This window comes from Homo sapiens, chromosome 6 (assembly GCF_000001405.40).
Source record: "Homo sapiens chromosome 6, GRCh38.p14 Primary Assembly".
NCBI lineage: Eukaryota > Metazoa > Chordata > Mammalia > Primates > Hominidae > Homo > Homo sapiens.
In genome coordinates, this window is record NC_000006.12 from 138,617,682 (window position 1) to 138,640,365 (window position 22,684).

Here is a 22,684-nt window from a genome sequence, read left to right on the forward strand (position 1 = left end):
CTAGACGACTATCAGCTAAGCTTGACAGAGCTTCTGAGAAGGTCAAGAATTCTACGGAACTGCAGGTACTGCGTTCTCATTACTCCTGGAGGACAGGCTGAGTCCCATGGAACGATGTGTGTCCCTCTCCCTGTCAGATCTCAACACAGTCCATCACTGTTCCAAATGACTTGTGCCCAGTGGGGTGCAGGGAACTGCAAGGTGATGGCAGCTTGATTCTCACATCTGCAGCCGTCACTGATGCACAAGGATGGGACCTCACCACCAAACATTTCTCATGAAGCACCGTGGAGATGCAGAGGGACAGCTAAGAAGAAGTGTCAAAAATAGAAAACCTCTGTTAGCAAATTCATGAAGAGTATATTGATATTTTCATATGGGTATAATTTTATATGCCACGATTTTATAAGCATTAATTTACAGAAACTTATAACAGAGACCTTCCTGCAGGGAAAAAGGATGCAAACATTCTTGGTAATGCTAAAGGAAGAATACCTGTTAAATCAGTTCTTCCTAATCAAGGCTATACATCAGCTACCCAAGGAGATTTTGCTAATAGCTACACGCCCAGGCCCCAACCCCTGGAGATTCTGATTAAGTAGGACAAGAATGATGCACAGATGTGTATATTTTCAAAAAGCTCCTCCAACTGGTTGTGACACACAATTAAAACCTGATTTAAAACCACTGTTTTGAATTCCCGAGAAGATTTCAGGCAATCTGTGGACACTCATCAGTAGTTGTGTTCAAGTCCCATCCAATCTAAAAGGGGAAGCACTTTTCAAACAAATATACTAAGCTGAGAGCAACGGTTTTTCTGACTAGCTGTTTAGGTCATTGCAGAAAAGCTACTCACCTGCTTAATATGACCAGACAGATGTATGATATCTTAGCAACAAGACACAAAATCAGTTTTTTTTTAAATGAACACATTTAACTATGATATTCAGAAGAGAAAGGTAGAAAAGGAAATAAACACCATTATGGAAGGGAAGAATATTTTCCCTTCTTCTTTCTTCTGCCTATCTAGAATCATCTGCTCTTTCAAAACACTTTTATATAAAAGAAATAATGACTTGTACCGAGTGATCTGCCTACTGGAGGCAGCACTTCAACACATCCAGACAGCTGAGCAATAATTGTTTACTAAATCTAATTTGTCACATTTGGCATTTAAAATATATATAATCACCTAAGAAGCTAAAGACCACATGTCATGACCCTCTCATTTCCAAGTCATTTGCCTCAGCCCCTGGGGCCTTGGGTGTCACTCTACCTGCTGCAGGAGTTCCTACCATTTCCTCTGAGTTTTTCTCTTATAGGAGAGCAAGAAAGAGGAGGACACAGGTAACTTAAAATAAAATGAAAAATGTTGGCCAGGTGCGGTGGCTCACGCTTATAATCCCAGCACTCTGGAAGGCCAAAGCAGGTGGATCACCTGAGGTCAGGAATTTGAGATCAGCCCGGCCAACATGGTGAAACCCCATCTCTACTAAAAACACAAAAATTATCCGGGCATGGTGGTGGAAGCCTGTAATCCAAGCTTCTCAGGAGGCTGAGGCAGGGGAATTGCTTGAACCCAGGAGGCAGATGTTGCAGTGAGCCGAGATCACGCCACTGCACTCCAGCCTGGATGACAAGAGCAAAACTCTGTCTCAAAAAAATAAAGTATAAGTAACAACTGGTCCATCAAGATTTCCCAAGACCAAGACCTATTTATAGGAGCAGCACATAATCCTTAATGTGCTAAGATTAAAGCTAATTAATTTAGAAGTAGAACAAAAATCATTAAATCCAGAAGTTATGGGAGAGATTGGTTGACTGTTACTTTTCGTACCTACTATTCCCACCTAATTAAAGAACCTGCTAAAGATACCCACAATATATGTTTAAGTGGAAAACCAAGTTTGAGGAGTGTACAAATAGTACATTCTCCGTGGTGTTTTTTAAAAAGGAGTGGTCAGGCATGGTGACTCACACCTGTAATCCCACCACTTCGGGAGGACAAGGCAGTAGGACTGCTTGAGGCCAGGAATTTGAGACAGATCACGAGGTCAAGAGATCGAGACCATCCTGGCCAACATGGTGAAACCCCATCTCTACTAAAAATACAAAAATTAGTCAGGCGTGGGGGCATATGCCTGTAGTCCCAGCTACTCTGGAGGCTGAGGCAGGAGAATTGCTTGAACCCGGGAAGCGGAGGTTGCAGTGAGCTGAGATCGTGCCACTGCACTCCAGCTTGGGCAACAGAGCGAAACTCTATCACAAAAAAAAAAAAAAAAAAAAATAGCAATCTCCAAGTTAAAACCACTCAAACAAAAGCAAAAACAAAACAACCATAACCTAATAATCAGTTTTTAAACTGTATTAATTTTTTTTTAAAGATACTCCTTAACACCTGCCAAGAAAGAAGATGAGATAACAAGATAACATTTAAGATGGAAACTAAAGAATCCTTCAGATTTAGGTAAAGAGAAAGAAGAGCTTGAAAGAAAATCTGCACAAGGCAAGTAGTCACCACCAGCCCAGCAGTGAGGCAAAGCCCTTTTTTTTGAAACAAGAAAAATATTTCATGACCTAAATGGTCTGAAACAATTTGTCAACAGATCAACATCTGAGAAAGGCACAACAAAAGCAATAAGGTAAAAAGTGTTTATGAATGAAACTCAGGCCTTCCCCAAAAGGAATTTACTGTGAGCAAAATGTTATTAATACAATTATTTATAACATTAGTTGTTTTTTTTGAGAAGGGTAAGGGGTAAGGACAGAACTTCACAAGGGATTATATTACTACAATGATGAAATATGACGAAGTCAAAAAGCTAAACTTTGTATCATTTCTAGAAAATAGGTCAATATGGTTGGTGGTTGCTAACATAAAATGAGAAGAATTAAACAATTTTACTAAAAATGTTAATGGAAAAAATGGAAATTGAAGCATTTCCTTTATCTGTATATAACAATCCAAAAGCATGTTGAAAAACATCTAACTTTAGAACAAATACACTTTTCCATTCTGCAAGGAGAGAATTCTAGAACTTAAAAAAAATATAATAATACTTCTAACTGTGCCAGTAAATATAACTTCCATCTGCCCCAGCAGCGTGTGGCAATGTTTACTGAGACTACAGTAGATGGATCTCCCAATTGCCCGACCCTCCCACATCCTCTGAGCCAGTCTTCGGTCTTCAAACATCATGCCACACACTGGGAATCTAGAGCAGGAGTAAAGAGAGAGCAATTCCACCTGGCTTCACACAGAAACTGCAGCTGGGGAGGACAGATGGGTTGAGTGAGGGGACATGCTGTAGGACTCCCAGGTGCTAGTGTGGGGGATAAGGGAGAAGTAAGAAGGAGGAGAAAGTTGGACACACCAGGCCCCAGTGGCACCACCATGCTTGCTTGGCTCCTGCCCCCCTGCCAGCATCCCCCAGACACTGCTGCTCTATTAACATTAGTTGAGAAACCTGAAGACGGAATCCTGAATAAAGAGATTGCTGAAAAGGGTTAGTTTTGCTACAAATGGTATGCAAGTCAAACATATGAAAGTTCAAAACTGTCTATAATAAGTATGCTTCATTCATTATCATCCAATTTAGTTCCATGGGAAGTCAAAGCTTTAAGTCCATCCCAGAAGGACCAAAGCAAGAAAAATGCAAACACTGAAAGAACAGTGGAGAACAACACAAAGATCTCCATTATATCTGGTCACTTTTGTTATGAAATCTTTCAAATGTAAAAAAGTTAAATTAAAATACAATGAACTTCCTATTTTTAGAAAGTATCATTGATTTTTTTTTTTTCCCCCCAAGATGTAGCCTTGCTCTGTTGCCCAGGCTGGAGTGCAGTGGCTCAACCTCAGTTCACTGCAACCTCCACCTCCCAGTTTCAAATGATTCTCCTGCCTCAGCCTCCTGAATAGCTGGGAATACAGGTGTGTGCCACCACGACCAGCTAATTTTTGAATTAGTAGAGATGGGGTTTCACCATGTTGGCCAGGCTGGTCTCCAACTCCTGACCTCATGATCTGTCCGCCTCAAATGTGATTGATTAGCTATCCAAAAAAAATATGCATGCAAACCAAAAGTAAGGGGGCAGTCCCAGATATACCCAGTCTGTACAAAACCCAGAGTAAAGGAACAATCCCACTGTCACTGTCACAGAAAGGCCACGCTTCAGGGCCAGCCCTAGCAAGGAGGCAGCACTAGGTCCAGATCCCTCTCCTGCCATGTATGTGACTTGGAGAAATGTGTCAGCTTGAGTGCCTCAGCTTCAGCCTCTGCACAATGAGAATAATGCCACCTAATTTGCAGGGATCCCATGAAGATTAAATGAGGTAAGGTGTGTGAAAGAGACCACCCTCCTATGTAGCGGGCATTCAAAAAAAGCTAGCTATAATGAAATCGAAGAACTTCAGAGTGTCTTAAAGCAAACAGGAAATTCAAGAAGAAATCATCAAGGAAGGATGGGGAAAGAAGAAGGTGAGGAGGGAATGATATGAAGAAGAAGTGCATAGGTAAAGATTAACAATAACCTTTTGGCCGGGCGTGGTGGCTCATGCCTGTAATCCCAGCACTTTAGGAGGCCGAGGTGGGTGGATCACGAGGTCAGGAGATCGAGACTATCCTGGCTAACACGGTGACACCCAGTCTCTACTAAAAATCCAAAAAAAAATAGCCGGGCGTGGCCGCATGCGCCTGTAGTCCCAGCTGCTGGGGAGGCTGAGGAAGGAGAATGGCATGAACCCAGAGCCAAGATCGTACCACTGCACTCCAGCCTGGGTGACAGAGCAAGACTCTGTCTCAAAAAAGAAAGAAAAAAACAATAACCTTTTGGTTCCCACGTGGGGGTGTTTCATGAGGGTACATTAATTTAATATTAAATAAAACAAAAGTGGGGGCAAGTATGGACCAAAGATAAAAATCTGCCATAAGCCAAGGACTACAATTAATCTAATTATGTGTACCTGAATTTCAGAAGGGGAAAAAAAATACTTAGCTATCTTTTAGTAATTCCAAGAAAGCAAATGAAATTTCCTAGTCAGTGTAACCAATGCAAGTTGACAAACATCTATTGATTACTCACTATAATTATCAGAGCCTACGCTTGGTACACCAGATATCAGAGATAAATATAAATGCAGTTCCTGCTCCCAAGGGGTTCACATTTTAGTGTGGGAGAGGCACAGCACACACTAAGCATTCCTTTGGGTGGCTGCTACAGAAGTAATGGAGCGCAGGGCAGAGGCGATAAAGTAGGTAACACTACAGTGAATTCTAAGCAAAGAAAAGGAAAGGAGAAAAGGGGATATGGGAAAGTAACATACGCATAATACAGGGCCCTGCAACAGCCAGGCATGTTCAGAAAGCCACTTAGAAAAAAGGGCAGCAAGTGATGAAGTCACCAAGGATGTTGAGCAGGTGTGCAATTTGGATTTGCAAAATCATTGCATTAATGACGTGGATCTGAGAACAATGCGATGGGAATGTGGGCAAAAGGCCAGTTTAGATGCCCTTACAGTCATTCAGAGCACAGAAAATGAAGGCCTGCACTGGCATAGTAAAGTGAGGGTGGACAGGGAGCTCTGCTCAGAAACTGAGAGGCAGGCAGGTAAATGACTGAAGGAGACGAAGAGACAACAGGGCCCGGAGTGCAACAGAGAGGTACAGGGAGCTTATCCCTCTACAGTGTCTGTCTGGTTTGTTTATTCATTTATTTATTTTAATTCATAAAAGTTATATATATTTATGGTGTACAACATGAAGTTTTGATATATGTATATATTATAGAATGCTAAATCAAACCAATTAACATATTACCTCACATACTTATTTTTTGTGGTGAGAATATTTAAAGGTCTACTCTCTCAGCAATTTTGAAGAATACAATACATTGTTATTAACTATAGACATCATGTTGTACAATAGCTCTCCTGAAATTATTACTCCTAACTGAAATTTTGTATCCTTTGACCTACATCTCCTCAGTCTCTCTCTTTGTTTTACAGTTTACAAGCCAAACTCACAATCCTGATTACAGAGGTGATATAGTTTGGCTGTGTCCCCACCCAAAATCATCTTGAATTGTAACCTCCATAATCCCAATAACCTCCATGTCTCAAGGGTAGGACCAGGTGGAGGTAACTGGATCATGGGGGTGGTTTTCCACATGCCGCTCTCGTGATAGTGAGTGAGTCTCAAGAGATCCGATGGTTTTATAAGCGTCTGGCATTTCCCCTGCTTGCATTCGCTCCATCCTGCTGTCCTGTGAAGAAGGTGCCTGCTGCTTCTTTGCCTTCCACCATGATTGTAAGTTTCCTGAGGCCTCCCCAGCCATGTGGAACTGTGAGTCAGTTAAGCCTCTTTCCTTTATAAATTACCTAGTCTCGGGTATTTCTTCATAACAGTGTGAGAACAACTAATACAAGAGGTCATCAAAGAGGTACAATCTTTGATGTTATTGATTGATTGGCTGAGAAGAGGTGGCAGCAATGGTGGACGCTAAGAGAGTGCATCTCCACCTTTAACATGCACAGGATCACCTAGACAGCTTGTTAAAATGCAGATCCTAATTCAGTAGGTCTAGGGTGGTGCCTGAGCCTCCGCATTTCTAACAAGCGTAGGTGACACTGATGTGTCATGGACCACATTTTGAAAAGCAAGGAATTTGAAAGCACCAAGAATCAGAGAAAAGAGAAGGGAAGGAGGGCAAATGTAAGCGTTCATTGTATGACACAGATGACTCTGGGTCACTGAGGCTGGATATATGAGTCTGGTACTCTACCTGGAGCTACATAGAGAATTGAGAATAATTCATTCACGTATACACACTATAAAAAAAAGGAAGAATGAAATTAGATTACCTAGGGAAATCATGTAATCTCAAGGCAGAACAATGGGTGTCCCATTTTTCCTGAATGGACAATTAAGATCTCTCAGAAACCTTTTGCTGAGTGACACTCAGATCACTGAGGCTCTGCCCTGCTCAGAAACAGCCTCCTTCTGACACTTCACCCACCTGAATTAAATAAAATCAAACCTCGTCTAACATGTCTTCCTCATGCAAGTGAACTGATGAACTTAATATTGCTGAGCATCCTAAACTGCAGCAGAGGAGGTGTTTGCAAAAGCTTTGGTAGACCCTTGGAAGGATTCTTCATCAGAACCAAATTTCTTATAATAGCTATACCTATCTCTACCGTTTTCAATTACAGGTTTTCCTGAAGTTCTTTGCAAGGTCATCATGGAATAAAAGGCCAGAATTGATGATTAAAGAACTCTTTTAGTTTATATATACAAAATATAGTGTGTGTGTGTGAGAGAGAGATATTCTGTCTTAATATAAAATCAACTGTATTAATAATTAAACTAAAATGTTAATACGGTGGATATTAATTTACAAAGATATAATTAATTTAAATAATTAAATCATCAATTAACACTTTTTTGTTGTTGTTGCTTTGTTTTGCTTTGCTTTTTTTGAGACAGGGTCTTGCTCTGTTACTCAGGCTGGAGTGCAGTGTGTGATCTCAGCTCACTGCAACCTCCGCCTCCCAGGTTCAAGCGGTTCTCGTGCCTCAGCCTCCTGAGTAGCTGGGACTACAGGTGTGCGCCACCACGCCTGACTAATTTTTGTATTTTTAGTAGAGACAGGGTTTCACCATGTTGACCAGGCTGGTCTCAAACTCCTGACCTCAAGTGATCCACCCGCCTTGGCCTCCCAAAGTGTGAACTGTTAATTTGCTATGTTTCTTGATTACAGCTGGACATTGCTTTTCCAGCGTTTAGGTCTTTTTCACACTTCTGGTCTAGAACTTATCACCACTCCTTACTGGGTAACTACTATCTCCCCTTCCTAGACAGTAGCAATTTTATTTTCTCTTTATATATTCTTGAAGAATAGTATAGTGCCATGAGTACAGTATGAGCTCTAAAGTACTTGTTTTTGTGCTTTTTTAATTAAAAAAAAAAAAAAAAAAATTAGAGACAAAGTCTTGCTGTCACCCAGACTTGAATGCAGTGCAGTGATCACACCTCACTGCCGCCTAAAACTCCGGGGCTCAAGATCCTCCCACCTCAGTCTTCCTAGCTGCTAAGACTATAGGCACACACCACCATGCCCAGCTAATTTTTATAAATGTTCTGTAGAGATAGGGTCTCACCTGTTCCCCAGGTGGGTCTCAAACTCTTGGCCTCAAGCAATCCTCCTGCTTAGGACTCTCGAAGTGCTGGGAATACAGGTGTGACCCACCACACCCAACCGAAAGTATTTGTTGAATGAAAGTTGTTTCCTTATCTTAGCTTTTCTCAATGGAAAACTACTGTTGAGTTTTTCTTCTGCCTTCAGTCCAGCTTCTTGTTCCTGCACTGAGGCATTACTGGCTATAAAAATCCACTGTTAGACTCAAGAACAGGCAGAAGGCTGTCTCTGGACAGCTTGGTTTTAATTGATCAAATGATCCCTGGCACTGAGGTGTCCAAATTATTCCACCTGTCTTCCTAGCCAACAAATCAGTGAAAGCACATATGGAAACAACCATCCAGTCCTGCCTGATCAGTCCACTTGCTTGAATTCTAAAACCTCACTTAGCTTTTGGAAACAAACTCTTTAGGTAGAATGTTAATACAGGAGTCTCTTCCCTCGCAAAGCAAAATCTTGAAAGAGCCACAGACATTTTCTCACTGTTAACAGTGGTAGATAGGTTGATTATGTAGTCCATAAATTTTACTAAATCATCAGACACACTTGACTTTTCTCTGTGACGGCATAGCTTTAAGTAAATATTAAGAAGGCATTTGCATCCATTAAAACACAGAATTTAAAAAGTAAAAACACCTCTTCGAGCCCATGGTAAGTTCTACATTTTCCAGATTCTCAGCATTAGCAAATATTGTTTATATAATCAAGAAACTTTCTTAAAAAAAATTGTAGGCCGGGCGCGGTGGCTCACGCCTGTAATCCCAGCACTTTGGGAGGCCGAGGCGGGCGGATCACGAGGTCAGGAGATCGAGACCATCCCGGCTAAAACGGTGAAACCCCGTCTCTACTAAAAATACAAAAAAATTAGCCGGGCGTAGTGGCGGGCGCCTGTCGTCCCAGCTACTTGGGAGGCTGAGGCAGGAGAATGGCGTGAACCCGGGAGGCGGAGCTTGCAGTGAGCCGAGATCCCGCCACTGCACTCCAGCCTGGGCGACAGAGCGAGACTCCGTCTCAAAAAAAAAAAAAAAAAAAAAAAAAAAAAAAAATTGTAACTACCACTATAAGCAATCAAGACTAAACAAAAACATTACTGTATATCATATACACCTTCTTATTGAAAGTCTAAAATTCTGCTGCACATAAAACACCTAAAACAATTTAGAACATTTGCCATTTCTTTCTATTCTAAGGGAAATAATAGGATTAATGAGATGTTGATGAGAAATTGTCTTCTCTATGCAACACTGCTCTCTGCAAAAATACCAAACTATGTCAAACCTGTTCCCAAAAGGAAGAGGATTAAATTCTACACCTAGAAAATTAAATTCTCAAGCTACCTACCACACAGTCTGTCAATTTATATAGGTTACTATAATCAAGAAACCACTGCTTTTGGTCTATGTTTTAAGGATGAATAATTAATACACAAAAAGTTTTTTTATATGTACCAACAATAGTACTTAATAGAATGTTCCTGAATGTATTCTTCTTTGTAAATAATTGTAATATCCACTGTATTAACATTATAGACTACTATTGTGGTAGTGGCTCAACTATTAATACATTGTTGAATTTATATTAGGACAAAACATCTGTCTCACGCACACATCATACATTTGGTATATATAAACTAAAGCTTCTTTAATCGTCAGAAAAAAAATCTAAATTTTCATAGTATTCAAATATATCAGTAGTATACCAGATATAAGAAATTCATTTATGGCCAGTCGCGGTGGCTCACGCCTGTAATCCCAGCACTTTGGGAGGCTGAGGCAGGTGGATCACGAGGTCAGGAGTTTGAGACCAGCCTGGCCAACATGGTGAAACCCTGTCTCTACCAAAAATAAAAAATTAGCTGGGCGTGGTGGCGGGCGCCTGTAATCCCAGCTACTCAGGAGGCTGAGGCAGGAGAATCGCTTGAACCTGGGAGGCAGATGTTGCAGTGAGCCAAGATTGTGCCACTGCACTCCAGCCTGGGCGACAGAACAAGACTCCGTCTAAAAATAAAAATAAAAAAAATTTAAAAAATTTATTTATATGAACTCTACAGCTTATTTAAAATATTCTTGTCAACATATTTTATCTGGAAAAGCTCAAAGTTACTTTTAAGTTTTCAAATACATACACACATATACGTAAAACGTATATCCAGCCGGGCGAGGTGGCTCATGCCTATAATCCCAGCACTTTGGGAGGCCGAGGTGGGTGGATCACCTGAAGTTGGGAGTTCGAGACCAGCCTGACCAATGTGGAGAAACCCCATCTCTACTAAAAATACAAAATTAGCCAGGCATGGTGGTACATGCCTGTAATCCCAGCTACTTGGGAGGCTGAGGCAGGAGAATTGCTTGAACCTGGGAAGCGGAGGTTGCGGTGAGCTGAGGTCTGCCATTGCACTCCAGCCTGGGCAACAAGAGTGAAACTCCATCTCAAAAAAAAAAAAAGAAAAAAAGTGGTATATCCATAGATCCATTATGATCCATATTCATGATTTCCTATATTCCATCTTTAATATGCATATTTTGGGAAGCATGTTAATGTTTGGCATTACAAACGGCAAGGCAATTTTGAGTTACTGTATGGAGCTGAAGACGATAGCTTTATCTTCACACTTTGTAATACTGCATCCTACCCTGGTTAAGCAAATTCCATTTCAGTATTTTACCCTGAGTACTCATGAGAATTATTCAATCATGTGACCAGAAATACTGGTTCTGGATTATTAATTTAAAAATGTTCCACCTGTAATCCCAGGTACCTGGAAGGTTGAGGCAGGAGAATCGCTTGAACCTGGAAGGTGGAGGTTGTAGTGAGCTGAGATTGCACCACTGCACTGCAACCTGGGTGACAGAGTAAGACCCTGTTTCAAAAAGAAAATTAAAAAGTTCCTCCATTTCTTTTCCGCAGTAACCACTAACCAAGACTAAAATTTATTTGAAACCACGCTTGTTAGCAGAAATGCTTACTACAGACTCAAATAACTCCAAGAAAATTTGGTCCCTTGCACATAACTGGGCATTTAGTAAATATCGATGGGATGAATAAATACTGAATAAACTCAACAATTTTTATCAGAACACTGACAAGACTGAGAAGAAAACATTAGACATGTCACTATGGTGCTCAACTACTTTCAGTCATTCCACGCCAGCCTCTGAGAGGCACAGGCAGAATTCCAATAAAGCACAGTTTTCTTCCATAGTTGCAACCTCAAAAAAAGTGCTGAAATTCAAATAATCTTAAGTTCTGCCGCCTGTACACATAGGAATATTCTCCTTATAATGTAACTGAATAAAGTTATCCTCCGAGAGGGAGACAATGGTATCTGCTGCTTTCCCATCAGCTCTTCCAGAAGCTACTATGTTGGACAACTGAGCTGTAAATGAGGAAGCAAGGAATCTTCACTACTAATTATTTCAATGACGGTCATATCCTATTATGTCCTGAAAGCACCAAATTTATTTGTTGCCCAATAATTTTACATCAGTATTTCTTTCTTTCTTTCTTTCTTTTTTTTTTGAGACGGAGTCTCGCTCTTGTTGCCCAGGCTGGAGTGCAGTGTCGCGATCTCGGCTCACTGCACCCTCCGCCTCCCAAGTTCAAGCAATTCTCCTGCCTCAGCCTCCCATGTAGCTGGGATTACAGGAGTGCACCACCACACCCAGTTAATTTTTGTATTTTTAATAGAGATGGGGTTTCACCATGTTGGCCAGGCTGGTCTTGAACTCCTGACCTCAGGTGATCCACCCACCTTGGCCTCCCAAAGTGTTGCGATTACAGGCGTGAGCCACCACGCCCGGCCTTACATCAGTATTTCTTAAAGAGAAGCAAATGCCTGAATTTAATGCACAGATTTAGTTGTTGTGGCAATTGTTACAGAAGGCATTTGTGGTAAGTGGATTTCTTTCTAACCATATGTGAAGCTTCAAACCTTAATAAGCAAACACATAGTAAGTAGAAATTGATTTCTACAAAACCAGGCTTCATAAAGTTGTATAGTCTACAGAAATAACACATTACATATTTTTCAGATTTTTTTAGTAGTACACAATTACTTCCCCCAAAGTAGACAAACCAAAGTTTTGATTAAAAGATTTACACTAACTGGCTGGGCTTGAGGCCAGAAGTTTGAGAACTGCCTGGGCAACACAGTGAGACCCTGTCTCTACAAAAAATCTTTTTAAATTACCCTGGCATGGTGGCACATGCCTGCAGTCTAAGCTACTTGGGAGGCTGAGGTGGGAGGATCGCTTGAGCTTGGGAGTTAGAGGCTGCGGTAAGCCATGCTGCAGCTCCAGCCTGAGCGACAGAGTAAGACCTTGTCTCCCCGCCCACTCCCACCAAAAAAAAAAAATCACACTGTGAAGCCTTGTAAACTACATACGTTGATTATTTTTTTCAAAACCACCTTTGAATGAAATAATTTACCCTTGGATGAATATCTAAATGTGGTTTTTTTCAATATGCTTTAAAGGAAAACTCTTCTGAAGTTTGAAGTTTCTCGTGTTTTTTTGTTTGTTTGTTTTACTGAGATGGAGTTTCGCTCTTATTGCCCAGTCTAGAGTGCCCAGCCGAGATCACCGCAACCTCCGCCTCCCTGATTCATGTGATTCTCCTGCCTCAGCCTCCCGAGTAGCTGGGATTAAAGGCGTGCGCCACCATGCCTGGCTAACTTTGTATTTTTTGTAGAGATGGGGTTTCTCCATGTTGGCCAAGCTGGTCTCGAACTCCCAACCTCAGGTGATCGGCCCGTGTTGGCCTCCCAAAATGCTGGGATTACAGGCGTGAGTAACGCACCCAGCCTTAAGTTTCCATTTTTATAATCAATTTCATTTTAGCTAAATTGCTGACAGCAATTCCTAAAACAACTTAGTATTTGTCACTCTCTAAATATGCTTGAGCTAAGAAATTTGCAATGGGAAGGGGGCAAGGCAAGATGGTGGAATAGAAGGCTCCACCCATCGTCCTGCAAAAACACCAATCTAACAACTATCTATACAAAACAAGCAACTTCATAAGAACCAAAAATTGGGTGAGCACCCACAGTACCTGGTTTTAACTTCATATCAGCAGAAAGAAACACTGAGGAGGTAGGAAAAAGTCTTGAATCACAGATGCCATCCCTCCACCATCCCCCAGTGGCAGCGTGGTATGGACAGTGTTCCTGTGCTCTGGGGAGAGGGAAAGTCAGCAATTGTGAGGCACTGAACTCAGTGCTGCTCTGCTATAGCAGAAAGAAAATCCGGACCAAACTCAGCTGACGCCCGCCCACGCAGGGAGCATTTAAACCAACTCTAGACAGAGGGGAATCACCGATTCCAGCGGTCAGATCTTGAGTTACTGCAAGCCTCACCACCACGAGCTAAAGTGCTCTGGGGCTCACCATAAACGTTAAGGCAGACTAGGCCACAAAGACTACAACTTCTAGGCAAGTCGTGCTGGACTAGGCCCAGAGCCAGAGGACTAGACAGGGCATGTGAACTACTGGGACACCAACTGGGGAAGCTAAGAGTGCTGGCATTACCCTTCCCCTAATGCCAGGCTGCACAGCTCATGGATCCAAAAGAGACCCCTTCCTTCCATTTGAGGTGAGGAGAGAGAACAGTGAGGAGGACATTGTCTTGCATCTTGAATACCAGGTCAGCCACAGCAGAATAGGGCAACGGTCAAAGTCATGAGGCCCCCTTCCCAGGCCCTAGCTCCAAGACAACATTTCTAGACACACCCTGGGCCAGAAGGAAACTTGTTGCCTTGAAAGGAAGGACCTACTCCTGGCAGAATTCATCACCTGCTAACTGAAGAGCCCTTGGGCCCTAAACAACCAGCAGCTATACCTAGGTACTACCTCAAGGGCCTTGGTGAGCCTCTGAGACTCGTAGGTTTCAGTTATGTATGACCTAGCACATTCTCAGCTGTGGTGGCTAAGGGGCAAGGCTCCTTCTGCTTGAGAAAAGCAGAGGGAAAAGTAAAGAGGGCTTAGACTTGCATCTCAGGTGCCATCTCAGCCACGGGGAGGTAGAGCACCAAGTGGGCTCTTGGGGTCCCCGATTCTAGAACTTGGCTCTTGGACAGCATCTCTGGACCTGCCTTGGGCCAGAGAGAAACCCACTGCCCTGAATGGCAAGTCCTAGGCCAGGCAGCATTCATCACTAGCTCACTGAAGAGCCTTTGGGCCTTAAGAGAACATTGGCAGTAGTCTGGCAGTACTGTCCGTGGGCCTGTGGTGGCAATGCCCATGGGAGGAAGCTCCTCTGCCTTGGGAAAGGGGAGGGAAAAGTGGGAAGGACTGCGTCTTGTGGTTTGAGTGCCAGTTGAGCCACAGTATATTAGAACACCAGGTAGACTTGTAAGGTTTTTGACTCCAGTCCCTGACTCCCAGACAGCACCTGGACCCATCCAGAGCCTGGGGAAACTTGCCACCCTGAAGGCAAGGACACAGGCCTGGCCCACATTGCCACCTACTGATTGTAGAACCCCAAGGCCTTGAGTGAACATAGGTGGTAGCCAGAGAGTAGTTACAGCAGGCCTTGGGTGAGACCCACTGCTAGGCTGACTTCAGTTCTGACCCAGCGCGGTCCTAGTAGATGGTAACCAAAGGGGTGCTGTGTCACTCCACCCCCAACCAGGTGGCTCAGAACAGAAAGAGGAACCTTTTTTGGGAGAAAGGGAAGAGAGCAAGAGTTTCTGCCTGGTAATGCAAAGAATTCTTCCAGATCTTGTCCAAAATCATCAAGGTGTTACCTCTACGAGTCTGAAAGAACCACAGTATTACTGGGCTTGGTATGCCCCCTAAAGCACTCACAGCTTACAGCACAACACCCAAGTCCTTTTGAATATCTGGAAAGCCTTCCCAAGAAGCATTGGTACATCAAGCCCAGACTGCAAAGACTACAATAAATATCTAACACTTCAATACCCAGACACAGACAAACATCTTTAAATATCAAGACATTCCAGGAAAACATGTCCTCACCAAATATACTAAATAAAGCACCAGGGACCAATCCTGGAGAAAGAGATATGTGACCTTTCAGACAGAAAATTCAAAATAGCTTTTTTAAGAAACCTCAAATTCAAGATAACACAGAAAAGGAATCAGAATTCTATCAAATTTAACAAAGAGATTGAAATAATTAAAAATAATCAAGCAGAAATTCTGGAGATAAAAAATGCAATTAGCCTACTGAAGAATGCATCAGAGTCTTTTAATAGCAGAACTGATCAAGCAGAAAAAGGAATTAGTTTGAAGACAGGCTATTTGAAAATACACAGAGGAGACAAAAGAATAAAGAACAATGAAGCATGCCTACAGGATTTACAAAAAATAGCCTCAAAGAGACAAATGTATATTGGCCTTAAAGAGGAGGTAGAGAAAGAGACAGGGGCAGAAAATTTATTCAAACGGATAATAACAGAGAATTTCCCAAACCTAGATGAAGATATCACTAGCCAAGTACAAGAAGGTTATATAGAACATCAAGTGGGTTTAACCCAAAAAGACCACCTCAAGGCAGTTAATAAACTCCCAAAGGATAAAGAAAAGATCCTAAAAGCAGCAAGGAAAAAGAAACAGCATACAATGGAGCTCCAATACATCTGGCAGTGGACTTTTCAGTGGAAACCTTGCAGACCAGGAGAGAGTGGCATGACATACTTAAAGTGCTGAAGGAAAAAACTTTTACCCTAGAATAGTATACCTGGTGAAATATTCTTCAAACATAAAGGAGAAAGAAATTTGTCGTCCCCAGACAAAAGCTGACGGATTTCAATACCAGAACTATTCTACAAGAAATGCTAAAGGGAAAACTTCAATCAGAAGGAAAAGGAAGTTAATGAGCAATAAGAAATCACCTAAAGGTACAAAACTCACTGGTAATAGTAAGCACACAGAAAAACACAGAATATTCTGACACTGTAACTGTGGTGTGTAAACTACTCTTATTCTAAGTAGCAAAACTAAACAATGAGCCAAACAAAAAATAACTACAACTATTCAAGACACAAAGTATAATAAGATATAAATAGAAACAACAAACAGTTAAAAAGCAGGGGGATAAAGTTAAGACATAGAGTTTTTATTAGTTTCATTTTTGCTTGTTTATGCAAAGTGTTAAGTTATCTGCTCAAAATAATGGGTTATAATATTTACATGCTTTATGGTAAACTCAAACCAAAAACATAAAAGATACACAAAAAATAAAAAGCAAGAAACTAATCATATCGCCAGAGAAAATCACCTTCACTGAAAGGAAGACAGGAAGGAAAGAAAGAAGGAGAAGACCATAAAACAACCAGAAAACAACAAAATGGCAAGAGTAAGTCCTTATTTATCAATAACTTTGAAATGTAAATGGACTAAACTCTCCAATCAAAAGACAGAGAGCAGTTGAATGGATAAAAAACAAGACTCAATAATCGGTTGCCTCCAAGAAACACAATTCACCTACAAAGACACACATAGACCAAAAATAAATGGATAGAAAAAGATATTCCATGCCAACAAAAACAAACAAAAAGAGCAGGAGTAGCTATACTTACATCAGACAAAACAGATTTCAAGACAAAAACTATAAGAGACAAAGAAGGTCACCATATAATGATAAAGGTGTCAATTCAGCAAGAGGATATAACAATTTTAAACATATACGCACCCAGCACTGAAGCACCCAGATATGTAAATATTATTTGAGCTAAAAAGGGAGAGATCCCAATACAATAATAGCTGGAGACTTCAACACCCCACTTTCAGCATTAGACAGTTTGTCCACACAGAAAAAGAAACACTGGACTTAATCTGCACTGTAGACCAAATAGACCTAAGAGATATTTACAGAACATTGCATCCAATGGCTGCAGAATACACATTCTTTTCCTTATCGCATGGATCATACTCAAGGATAGACCATATGTTAGGTCACAGAACAAGTCCTAAAACATTCAAAAAAAAAAAAAGTAATATCAAACATCTCTGACCACAATAAAAACTAGAGATCAATAAGAAGAGGAATTTTGGAAACTATATAAACACATGCAAATTAAACAACATGCTTCTGAATGGCCAGTGGGTCAATGAAGCAATTAAGAATGAAATTGAAGGATTTCTTAAATGATAATGGAAATACAACACACCAAAACCTATGGGATACAACAAAAGCAGTGCTAAGAGGAAAGTTTATAGCTACCTCAAGTACCTACATTAAAAAAAAAAAAACTTCAAATAAACAACCTAACAATACATCTTAATTAGAAAAGCAAGAGCAAACCAAACCCAAAATTCCTAGAAGAAAAGAAATAATAAAAGATCAGAGCAGAAATAAAATTGAAATCAAGAATACAAAATGTTGTATTTTTGGAATCATGAAAACATGAAACAAAACGTTGGTTTTTTGGAAAAGTGAAACAAAATTGGCAAACCTTTAGCCAGACTAAGAAAAGAAAAGATCCAAATGAATAAAATCAGATATGAAAAATGAGACATTACAACTGGTACTGCAGAAATTCAAAGGATCATTAGTGGCTACTATGGGCAATTATATGCCAATAAATTGGAAAATCTAGAAATGGACAAATTCCAAGAAATATACAATACCAAGATTGAACCATGAAGAAATCCAAAACCTGAACAGACCAATAGAAGTAATGAGATCAAAGAACTTTCCCAGTAAACAAAAGCCCAAGACCCAATGGTTTAACTGCTGAATTCTACCAAACATTTAAAGAAGAACTAATATTAATACCAATCCTACTCAAACTATTCTGAAAAATAGAGAATGAGGGATAGTTCCAAACTCATTCTACGAAGCCAGTATTATGCTGATACCAAAAACACAGACACATCAAAACAAAAACAAAAACATACAAACAAAAAACTACAGAACAATATCTCTGAAGAATATTGATGCAAAAATGCTAAATAAAATACTAGCAAACTGACCTCAACAATACATTAGAGGCCAGGCACAGTGGCTCACGCCAGTAATCCCAGCACTTTGGGAGGCTGAGGTGAGCAGATCACTTGAGATCAGGAGCTCGAGACTAGCCTGGTCAAATAGTGAAATGCCGTCTCTACTAAAAAAAAAAAAAAAAAAAAAAATTATCCAGGTGTGGTGGTGCAGGCCTGTAATTCCAGCTACTCAGGAGGCTGAGGCAGAACAATCACTTGAACCCAGGAGGCGAAGGTTGCAGTGAGCTGAGATAGTGCCACTATACTCCAGCCTGGGCGACATAGTGAGACTCTGTCTCAAAAAAAAAAAAAAAAATACATCAACAGAATGAAGGAAAAAAAACATATGGTCATTTCAATTGATGCTGAAAAAGTATTTGACAAAATTCAACATCCCTTCATGATAAACACCTTCAAAAAAACTCGGTATAAAAGGAACATACCTCAACATAATAAATGCCACATACAACAGACCCATAGCTAATATAATGAACAGGGAAAAAGTAAAAGGCTTTCCTCTAAGATCTGCAACATGACAAGGATACCCACTTTCACCACTGTTGTTCAACATAGTACTGGAAGTCCTAGCTAGAGAAATCAGACAAGAGAAAGAAAGAAAGGGCATCCAAACTGGAAAGGAAGAAGTCAAATTCTCCTTGTTTGCAGATTATAGAATCTTATATTCAGAAAAAACTGAAGACCATCAAAAAACTATTGGAACTGGTATGCAAATTCAGTAAAGTTGCAGGACACAAAATCAACATAAAAAAATCAGTAGCATTTCTATATGCCAACAGTGAACAATCTGAAAAAGAAATTTTAAAAGTAATCCCATTCACAATAGCCACACTGAAAATCAAATACATAAGAATTAACCAAAGAAGTTGAAGATCTCTATAATGAAAACAATAAAATACTGATGAAAGAAATTGAAGAGGACACCAAAAAAATGGAAAAATATTCCACGTTCATGGATTGGAAAAAATCAACATTGTTAAAATGTTCACACTATCCAAAGCAATGTACAGATTCAATGCAATCCCTATCAAAATATGAATGACATTCTTCACAGAGATAGAAGAAACAATCCTAAAATTTATATGGAACCATGAAAGACCCAGAATAGCAAAATCTATCCTAAGCAAAAAGAGCAAAACTAGAGGAAACGCATTTCCTGACTTCAAATGATACTACAGAGTAATCAAAACAGCACAGTTTTGAATAGACACACAGACCAATGGAACAGAATAGAGAAACCAGAAACAAATCCACACATCTACCGTTAATTCATTTTTTACAAAAGTGCCAAAAATATGTTAGGGAAAGGACAGTCTCTTCAATAAATGGCGCTGGGAAAACTGGATATCCATAGGCAGAATAATGAAACTAGATCCCGTATCTCTCACCACATACAAAAATCAAATCAAAGATTAAAGACTTCAATCTTAGACCTCAAACTATGAAACTACTACAAGAAAACATTGGGAAAACCTTCCAGAACATTGGTCTGAGCAAAAATTTCTCAAGCAATACCCCACAAGCATAGGCAACCAAAGCAAAAATGAACACATTGGATCACATCAAGTTAAAAAGCTTCTGCACAGTAAATGATACAATCAACAAAGTGAAGTGACAACCCACAGAATGGGAGAAAATATTTGCAAACTATCAATCTGACAAGTGATTAATAACCAGAATATGTAAGGAACCCACCTCTATCAGCAAAAAATCTAATCCGATTAAAAAATGGGCAAAAGATTTCTCAAAACAAGACATGCAAATGGCTAACAGGCATATGAAAAGGTGCTCAACATCACTGATCATCAGAGAACACCAATCAATACTACAATGAGATATCATCTCACCCCAGTTAAGATGGCTTATTTCCAAAAGACAGGCAATAACAAATGCTGCAGAGGATGGGGAGAAAAGGGAACCCTCGTACAGTTAGTAGGAATGTAAATTAGTACAACCACTATGAAGAGCAGTTTGGAGGTTCCTCAAAAATCTAAAAATAGAACTACAATATTATCCAGCAATCCTACTACTAGGTATATACCCAAAATAAAGGAAAATCTGTTTGTCAAAGAGATATCTGCCATATTTGTTGCAGCACTGTCCATAGTAGCCAAGATTTGGAAGCAACCACAAATGAATGGATTTTTAAAATGTAGTACTTATACACAATGGAGTACTATTCAGCCATTAAAAAGAATTAGATCCTGTCATTTACAACAACATGGATGGAACTAGAGGTCATTATGTTAAGTGAAATAAGCCAGGCACAGAAAGACAAACATAACATGTTCTCACTTATTTATGGGATCTAAAAATTAAAACAATTGAATTCACGAAGATAGAAGAGTAGGATGGTTACCAGAAGCTGGGAAGGGCAGTGGGGTGGGTGGGTGATGGTTAATAGGTATAAAAAAATAGAAAGAATAAGACATAGTATTTGACAGCACAACAGAGTGACTATAGTCAATAATTGTACATTTTAAACTAAAAGAGTATAATTGGATTGTTTGTAACACAAAGAATAAATGCTTGAGGAATGGATGGATAGCTCATTTTCTATGATGTGATTATTATGCATAGCATGCCTGTATCAAAACATCTCATGTACCTCATAAACATATACACTTACTATGCACCCACAAAAATTAAAAATTAAAAAGATACCTGCAATACTTAATTAATCATTTTATTGTCAACAAGAAAAGTATACTTACTGTCAAGGAGGTAGGAAAGTTAAGTCCTAATTGAATCTACATCAAAAGAAAAAGAAAAAAAGAAACTTTCTATTTAAATCTGTTGAAAGCTTCGATTATTCAACTGACCTGAGAAAATGAAACTTGGGTACACTATTCCTGGGTACATTTGCATCTTTCCTCAGAAAGCCCGCATAGGAGCTTTCATTGCACTAACTTCCAACCCTCTGCTGTCTTCCCAGCCACTATGGATCAAGCTGCATATTAATGAGTAGGAGCAGCCAGAATACAGGAAACTCGGCCAAGAATACTAGGACAGACAAGAAAAGAGCTCACTATTTTCAAGAAAACATCTTTTAAGAGTTCTGGGCTCCCAGAAGTCAGGCCAAACCAGAGAGAAACTGCCTTTGGATGGGGATAAATAAGTTTGAGCTTTGTGCCCAAAGGGGATGGTAAAATACTTTTCTTCTTTTTTTGTACCATCTGTTTTAATAAAGGTAAATCTGGGTTACAGCAGCTTCATACTTACATCAGAATTACTTGATTTGTTTGGAGATACAACAAAATCCATAGTATTAGGAATCAAGAACTTGAAGGAATGTATTATTTTTTTAAGAGCCATCTGGAAGCACTGTCAAATTACTTCTTTTCTCTATCTACTCCTGGGAGCAATTATAGATATTCCCTGAAAATATCTTAAAGATAAAACACATTATCTAAAAACTTGAGAATTTGGTATAAAGTATATTTCATTTGCCACAAAATAAATAATTCCCCTATAACAACTTTTATTCATTGATTTTTTTTTTTAAGTTGATGTATGGCTGGGCGCAATGGCTCACGCCTGTAATCCCAGCACTTTGGGCGGCCGAGGTAGGTGGATCACGAGGTCAGGAGATCGAGACCATCCTGGCTAGCACGGTGAAACCCCGTCTTCTACTAAAAATACAAGAAAAAAAATAGCTGGGCATGGTGGTGGGCGCCTGTAGCCCAGCTACTCAGGAGGCTGAGGCAGGAGAATGGCATGAACCTGGGAGGCAGAGCTTGCAGTAAGCCGAGATCGGGCCACTGCACTCCAGCCTGGGCAACAGAGTGAGACTCCGTCTCAAAAAAAAAAAAAAATTAGCTGGGCGTGGTGGCACGCACTTGTAGTCCCAGCTACTTGAGAGGCTGAAGCTGAAGAATCACTTGAACCTGGGAGGCAGAGGTTGCAGTGAGCCAAGGTCGCACCTCTAGCCAGGGGACAGAGTGAGACTCAGTCTCAAAAAAAAAAAAAAAAAAAAAAAAAAAAGTTGATGTATATGTATATAAATAACCTTCTCATTCTTACAAACCATTTTTCAAATTTTAGCTTTTTTTTTTTTTTTACAAAATGCAGCTTTTCTCCACAATGCTGTATTTTATCATAAATACCTGATAAAGTTCTATCAGTATTTCAAAATTCTCATCATCGTATTGCACAGACTATAATCTCATGGAGAGCTGCAAACAAGCCTATCTTGGAACTTTTTGTGTTACATGCGAATTGGTAAAGCGCTGCACATTTCTGCAGCATGTCCCCCTTCTGAATAATCTATAGGTCAATATTGTCTAGAAAAAGTATGGATTAGTTTTTCTCCATCTTATAGCATCTTGGTGCCCATCTAGTCTGCACCCTCTATTATACAGTTAGGGAAATCCCAAGGCAAAACTTCCCTTACATTACAAAGTGGTATAGCTAGAAAGTGAAAGGAACCTAACTATTCTGAGTTTTAGGCTAGGGCAAACAAACTTATTCTGTAATTTCTTAGTACTTCTCAGCATTTTCACAGCACCTATCAAAATCCCTAGC

General features: G+C 40.1%; 1 protein-coding gene across 5 annotated transcripts in view; it reads right to left on the bottom strand.

Moving 5' to 3' along the window:
- NHSL1 (NHS like 1) overlaps window positions 1-22,684 on the bottom strand; it is a 271,170-nt gene that overhangs the window by 195,639 nt on the left and 52,847 nt on the right. Inside the window, exon 1 of one of the 5 annotated variants that reach the window (XM_047419119.1) lies at window positions 20,875-21,082. The exons of the other annotated variants lie outside the window; for them this stretch is intronic. The gene's annotated coding sequence lies outside the window, so the exon portion shown is untranslated. Of the gene's footprint in view, window positions 1-20,874; window positions 21,083-22,684 lie in introns of those variants that run through there. 5 annotated transcript variants of the gene reach the window in all.